This window comes from Homo sapiens, chromosome 10, assembly GCF_000001405.40.
Source record: "Homo sapiens chromosome 10, GRCh38.p14 Primary Assembly".
NCBI lineage: Eukaryota > Metazoa > Chordata > Mammalia > Primates > Hominidae > Homo > Homo sapiens.
In genome coordinates, this window is record NC_000010.11 from 71,055,657 (window position 1) to 71,063,025 (window position 7,369).

General features: G+C 49.6%; 1 annotated feature.

Moving 5' to 3' along the window:
• Positions 6,268-7,033: an enhancer, noted in NCBI's record as "H3K4me1 hESC enhancer chr10:72821681-72822446 (GRCh37/hg19 assembly coordinates)". NCBI's record gives its function as "activates a minimal SCP1, AML or CMV promoter by ChIP-STARR-seq in naive H9 embryonic stem cells {active_cell/tissue: H9 hESC(naive)}" and the evidence as "EXISTENCE:reporter gene assay evidence [ECO:0000049][PMID:30033119]".

The window sequence follows — 7,369 nt, forward strand, 5'->3', positions numbered from 1 at the left end:
ATTTTAATAAGTGAAAGAAAACAATCTGAAAAGGCCACGTATTGTAAGATTCCAGCTACATGCCATTCTGGAAAAGGCAAAACTATGGAGACAGTAAAAAGATCAGTGGGGCCAGGCGCCGTGGCTCACGCCTGTAATCCCAGCACTTTGGGAGGCCAAGGTGAGTGGATCAAGAGATTGAGACCATCCTGGCCAACATGGTGAAACCCCGTCTCCACTAAAAATACAAAAATTAGCTGGGCTGGTGGTGCGCGCCTGTAGTCCCAGGTACTCGGGAGGCTGAGGCAGGAGAATCGCTTGAACCCAGGAGGTGGAGGTTGCAGTGAGCCAAGATTGCGCCACTGCACTCCAGAATGAGACTCTGTCTCAAAGAAAACAAGAAAAAAAAGAAAAGAAAAAAAGATCAGTGGTTGCTGAGGTTGGGGAAAGGGAGGGATGAACAGGGAGAGCACAAAGGATTTTTAGGAAAGTGAAATTACCTTGCATGATAAAATAATTGTGATTGCGTGTCATTATACATTTTCCAAAACCCCTGGAATGTACAACACCAAGAGCGAAGCCTGCTGTAAACTGTGGACTCTGGGTGATGATGACATGTCATCATAGGTTCATCGATCACAACAAATGTACCACTCTGGAGTGGGATTTTGATGGTGGGGAAGGTGGAAGGGACAGGAGGTATATGGAAAATCTCTGTACCTTCTGCTCAATTTTGCTGTTGAGTCTTAAACTGCTTTTGAAAATAAAGTCTATTTTAAAAAATTATTGCATTAAATATACTTAAATTTGATTCCTGTTTTGATCTTAAATCCATGCAACATGACCCAGTAACATTTCCTCTGACAGGTCATTGGAACTCTATTATTCCTGCTGGGATTATTATTACTAAGTTATTGAATTATCTGTCAGGCACTGTGCTAAGCAGTTGACTCTGATCATCTAATCTGACCCTCATAACGTGCCCTGAGGTCGGAACTGGTGCCCCACTTTATAGATGAAACAACTGATGCCTAGAGAGGTGAGCCGACATGCCCACAGTTGCACAGGTGTCAGTGATAGAGCTAGGATTTGAACCAAGGTTTGTCTGGGTCCAGAGCCTGAACACCACATGCCATGCAAACAGAACAATAACCATTCATAGTGATAAACACTGCATTTTTTTCATCGTGCTCTCATTTGTTTTCATTGTTCCCATTTTAGAAGGTGGACACTAGCCAGAGAGCTGAGGTACCTTGCCCTGCTTAGTTCCTTTGCAATCACACCCTTGTTTCTGGAGCTCTCTCCCCAGTCTCTGGAGTCTCAGAGGTGTCATAGGAGTGAAGGAAAATGTCAAGAATATTAAATTTATAATTGAGTAAAACCTGGGGAGAATCGTTAAATCATGATCTAATATTTCCCAAATGGTTCATCGACATTTTAAAGACATGTCGAATTCTACGGCTTGCACATCCTGAGAGTGCAGATGAAAAGTTGGATGTTTATACTGGAGGCGAGCTGCTGAGCGGCACTAAAATGCCAGCAGCACAGATTTGAACCCAGAGCAACACTCCTCACCCTTGCAGTGACCTTTCAAGTTCATTCTATGGGTGAGGCTCAAGTGGGACATGGAGATCCAGATGTGTTTACATAAGCATACTTAATTGCAAAGGTATAAGAACACCTGATTATGACTGATGCCAATCCATTTCTAGATATCAAGTTCCAGATGTCTTTCAGTATAAAAACTGACTTCAAAAATATGTGCCTTCCTGGCCGGGCATAGTGGCTCACGCCTGTAATCTCAGCACTTTGGGAGGCCGAGGCAGGTGGATCACCTGAGGTCAGGAGTTTGAAACCAGCCTGGCCAACATGGTGAAACCCTGTTTCTACTAAAAATACAAAAATTGGCCAGGCGTGGTGGCGGGTGCCTGTAATCCCAGCTACATGGGAGGCTGAGGCAGGAAAATCGCTTGAACCTGGGAGGCGGAGCTTTCAGTGAGCCGAGATTGCGCCACTGCACTCCAGCCTGGGCGACGGTGTGAGACTCCATCTAAAAAAAAAAAAAAAGTCCAAAAATATGTGCCTTCCTAGCACCCAGGTCTTGGTTTCCAAATACTGTTTGCCAATAAAAGGAACCAGGACTCCTTGGAGAGATGGCTGGTCCTAGGGCTGGTAAGAGATTGTACTAGATGACCCTGGAGGATTTTGTGGGGCCAGAAAGTAAGGTAGTGCAAAAACAAACAAAAATACAAAAAAAAAAAAAAAAACAAATGAAAAGCAGCAGTATGATTGACATATATGTATATATATGATGGGGCTCATGTCAAAAGAACAGAGGAATCCATCTGCAAGAGTTTTGAAGGCCCAAGCTGCAACAATCTGAGCAACACAATATATAACAAGAGTACTGAATCCTAACAAATAATGTAGAAGGAATGAGAAATCAAAAGTCACCATTAGGACACACAGTAGGAACGTCTGCAGGCCGGATCCAGCAGTGGAAGGTAAAGTTAGTGGGCAAATCTTCAAGGAGAAGCAGGACACTGCAGAGCCTCCAAGTGTCTCCCCCAAACATATTAATCACTGCGGTAGTTTTAACAGATGTGTACGCATTAATATATACGAAGGTAGAAGTAGAGCTGAAGCTTAATTCCTCTATTCTTGAGTGTGGGCTACTCTTAGCAACTTGCTTCTAATAATAGAATAAGAAGAGGGGAAAACAACACCGCAGTGGAGAAAGCTGGCAGATACGGCTTAGCCCAGCGATCAAGGTTAGCGTCACCAGTGCTAAGTCCTGTTGATGTGTGCACCCCTGCTGTGATGTGAAAGAGATCCACAGTGAAACCCACAGTGTTGCACCAGGAGAAACACTGTGAACATTAGCAGGAGCATTAGGGGGAGCTGGGTGAAGAGTGCACAGGAACTCTGTGCTATCTTTGAACCCTTCTGTAAATCTAAAATTATTTTAGAATAAAACATTTTAAAGAAACACATGCCTTGTTCTGGGTTCAGGATCTCCAAAAGGTTGAAATATTGGCCTTAAATGAGGAGAAGAATGTAAAAAAAAAAAAAAAATAGCCAGGCTATTTCAAAAGCAGTAAATCCAATCTTTGGTTCCCTCTGCAATATATACTTTGCATACATATAACTATGTATCAGTAAAATGGGATCATGCTATATGCACTGTTTTACAGCCTGCTTTATTAGTAACAAACCATTGTGAGAGATCCGTAAGGTTTATCACAAACGTTGCCAGGGACTACAGTTTAGAGGGGCTCTCCAAGACTTTCTGGAAACCTCCTTGTGCTCTGTGGAAGTTCTGTGGCCTCCCCACCTAGCATTGCCCCAGCCCATGTTATAGAGATCAGCACCCCATAACACAGGACAAAATCCTGGAGATGCTGTCTGGGAGCTGTCCTGAGAACTTCCTGAAAAAAAAAAAAAAAAAAAAAGACTCTGAGCCAGAAGTCAGGAGACCTGGCAATGCATCCCTAAGGGAAGCCACGTGCTCTCTCTGAGCCTGTTTCTTCATCTGTGAAATGCAGAGATGATTTCAGGCTTTGCTTCTCTCCCGGGACCCCTGGAGGTTCCAAAGTAGGCTGGCCATGAGGAAAATATGACATCAGCTCTACCTCTGAGCACCAGGATTCAAAACCCTAGTTTGCCCCTTCCTGCCTGGACACCATTAGTGAGTGGTTTAACCTCTGGGCCTCAGTTTCCTCACCTACAAGTGGGGCTGACATCAATACCCACTTCACGGGGAGTGAATGAGCTCTCTTGTGTTCAGAAGGCTGAGCACGGTGCCTGGGAGAAGGTGGTTGCCATCAGTGGCAGATACAGTGATAGCTACTTTGGTGTTGACCGAGCGCCCCACAGCAAGCCTGGGGCTTCCCAGCACAGCGGTGTGGCACTCTGTGATGCCAGTGGTGGCGGCAGCCCTGCCTTCTCCTTGGAACCAGCCCCAACTGGCATAGTCTGTGATCCACTCACTTGACGGCCAGCTCCCAGATGGCCTGTGTCTCCTGGCCCAAGACCCAGCTCCTGTGGGCATCTCAAAGCTGCCAGCGTGGACAGAACGTGGGCTGCCCAGAGAACAGGCCTATAGGGGCTGTGCGCCAGGGCTGGAGAGGGCTGGGGAGGGACAGGCCAACCCCAAACCTCTGCCAGCCTCCCTGGAGATGTCACAGGTTTAGCAGGGGCTGCTTGACACATGTCGGATAAAATAAGAAAAAATAAATAACAATGTTTATAAGAAGATTAGCGAGAAGGCGGCAAAATTTCTCTAGGGAGCCTCCTTGGCTGCATCTCAGAATGACAGCTCCCATTGCCTTATCAGAGACATAATGAGTTGCCAGGATTTGGGGTCATTAAAAATCCTCCTGGGCTGGGCCCCCTCCCTCGCCCATTGCCTTTGATGGTGGAGACAGGGGGCCTCGTGGTGGCTCAGGTCCCCTGCCCCCACTGCGCTGTCTGCCCATCACTGTCCCTGTCTGCAGGGGTACAGAGGTGAGATGGTGGAGCCCAGCTTGGCGGAAGTAATGCAACACGACGGCCCAATTTGTGCCCTTGGCCCCTCGGGCAGAGAACTCGTCTCCCTGGTGCGGATTAGGCTCCGTTTTATCTCCGCTCCTTCAGAGACAAAAGGGGGGCTCTGCATAGGCGCATAGCCATGAGGCATCCGCGACTCCAGCCTGCGTTGTGCGGTAAGGAGCCTGCCACCCATATTATCCAATGCCTCGCTTGGCACATGGGGAAACTGAGGTTCGGGCAGAGGCAGTGTACATAGGTTGCAGCATCGTGGGGGCAGAGTCAGGCTTTGGACACAGGTCTCGGGATTCCCAGCCCGAGGTTGGGTGTGTGCTCATGAATGACTGCATGTTTGTACAGGGAGCAGAATGGAGGAGCGCGATGATAGGATGTACAGAAAATTGAATTCAGCGAGAACAAATGTGTATTGATCTTCTGCAAAGTGCAAGTCACGGGGAGAGACATGGAGGGGCTCAGAAACAAGGGAGACACAAGCTTCAGCCCCCAGTCCAGCAGGAGGGATGGATGCTAACGCCAGTGTCCAGAGGCCAGTATCTGCCATGCACACATGCAAATCCCCATCCCAGACAGCCTGACCCGTTCCTCCATCCCTATCAGTGCCACAGAGAAAGAGCTCCTGCCTTTAATCACCTCCCTCTTGGTCACAAAGCTTATCTTCAAGGAGCTCAAAGCACTTGTAGTGTATTGATTTTCTCAACCACTCACTGGCCCCACTTCCCTTGAGGGATGAGGAGTTTGGAGGAGAGAGGATTACCCTTGTGTTTCAATTCAGCAAGCTGAGGCTGGGGGCAGCTCCACTGGGTGGCCCCCTATGGCACCACTGGCCCACATGGTACCTTTGTGCTCTCGGTAGATTGTCCCACACTGGGGAGTGTGGCTTGGCGACAAGAGTGAAGCTGGATTCCAGCCCCCATAATCACCCCCTCAGACAAGCAGCTTTGTGCAGTTAACAACCTGCCCAACTGTATGTGGCAGGCTTGCTGTCGAAACTAACTGCCCAGGTTGGTCCTGAGGTCTCTCCCAGCCAGACGAGGGCCTCTGGTAAAATGGTAAAAGCAGGAGGGTCCTCTTGATTCTGGGAAGAACCCTTAACCCCCTCTGGCATGAGTTTTCTGATGTGTAAACAGGGTGTGATAAGAGGTAGTTGGGCTGATTTGATGAGATGCTAGATGTTTCTACGTTTTAAACTACAAAGTGCTACATAAATATTAATTTTGGTTAGAGCTGGTCACCCACATGCTCCTTCTCAGACCTGTACCTGCCACGCTCCAGGGTGTGTCTACCAGGTTTCATCCCAGAAGACCCAGCCCAGCTCAGGTCTCCCCTGTCAGCAGGCTGGGGTCACTAAACTCACAGAAGCCAGGAAGCTGAAGTCCCTGTGTCATTCTCCATCGTGGCCACACTGAGGAAGGACAGGGACAGCTCCCTTTCCCAGGCAGGAAAGCCAGGCCCCTGCCTGCCAGGTCAGGTCCACCCCACCCCCAGCAGTGACCTCCTCAAATCTGCCGCCCCTCCTCTCTCAGCCTTTGCTGCCACAGCTCCTCAGCGGTTTCGGCTGGAGGGGATCTGAAATCACAGGGGAGCCGTAGTCCAATCTTTCCTTCTAGAGTCAGGGCAGTAGAGTAGAGGGAGCATACGGTCCCACCACGGAGTGAAGACCGGAGCCCAGGCCCTGACCAAGAGCCCTGCTCTTTCTGCAGCTCCGGGGACTCCTCCAGGGCAGGGCCACAAGAAGATGTCACTTTTCTCAGCAGAAATCTGTTTCAGTGTCTTCCAGTCTAATTCCAGAGCTCAGAGTCTCTCTGCTTACTTTAGCCCAGCCCTGAGGCATTGCAGAGGGCTCTGGGATGTTCCCAGAAACTCAAACCTGGGCTTCCATTGTGGGGGAAGGAAGGACACCCCAGGCTCAGAACAGGTAGATGGGCTGGCCAAATCCCCATTCAGGACTGGGGTCAGCCAGCTGCATCTCACTCAGGCCTGGTCTCTGTCGATGCAGCTTGCTTCATCACAGACCCAGGCAAGCCCCTCCAGGACCCCCACGCCCAGCTGGGATGGCCAAAGCAATGCAGCCACCTGGGGACACTGAGGATTTCAGGGCTGCTGGGTGGTTTCCTTTCTGAAGCTGTAGCTCACAACCCCTGGCTCTCTGGTGGCCTGGGGCAGCCAGCCTGGCCCTCAGCCCCGGTGCTGGGCCCTATGCCGGCTCTCCATCAGCCATGAGGGGTTTCAGTGCCATGCTCACCAGCAATCACAGAATGGCAGAGTTAGCATATAATTTACTTTTGAAAAATAAATTAGAGTTGATTCAAGGCCACCCCTGGAATGCTGCCCCTCTCAACTGCTTGCATTCTGATGCTAACACGGGAGACCTTGATAATAGCGATAATAAGCAATAGCTGGTATTTATGGGGTACTTACTCCGTGCCAGTCACTATGCTGAGTGCTCTGTCTGCAGGATCTTGACTCTTCCTCTAACAATGCTGAAAGGCAGTGACTACTGCTACCCCCATTCTTCAGATGGGAACACAGTCTCAGAGGCATCACCCTTGCCAGCAGCTGCAATAGGGTTTGGACCCAGGCCTCTCAGTCACTGGGTGGAGTCCAGGAAGACTCCAGAAACTGTTTCTGACCCAGTGCCACAGTGTGCGCTGCACTTGGGAGGGTCACCGTGCTGGAGGTCTTGATAGAAGGCCCGGCCCCCCTGCAGTTCCCTGGGCAGTGCCAGAGTCCGGGGAGCCCCTCCATGGTGGAGCCCCTGCCTCCTCCCAACAGCCTTTCGCTCCCTATCTGTTTCAGCCACTCAAATACTATCTTCCTTCCCTCTTCTTCCCCCATGACAACA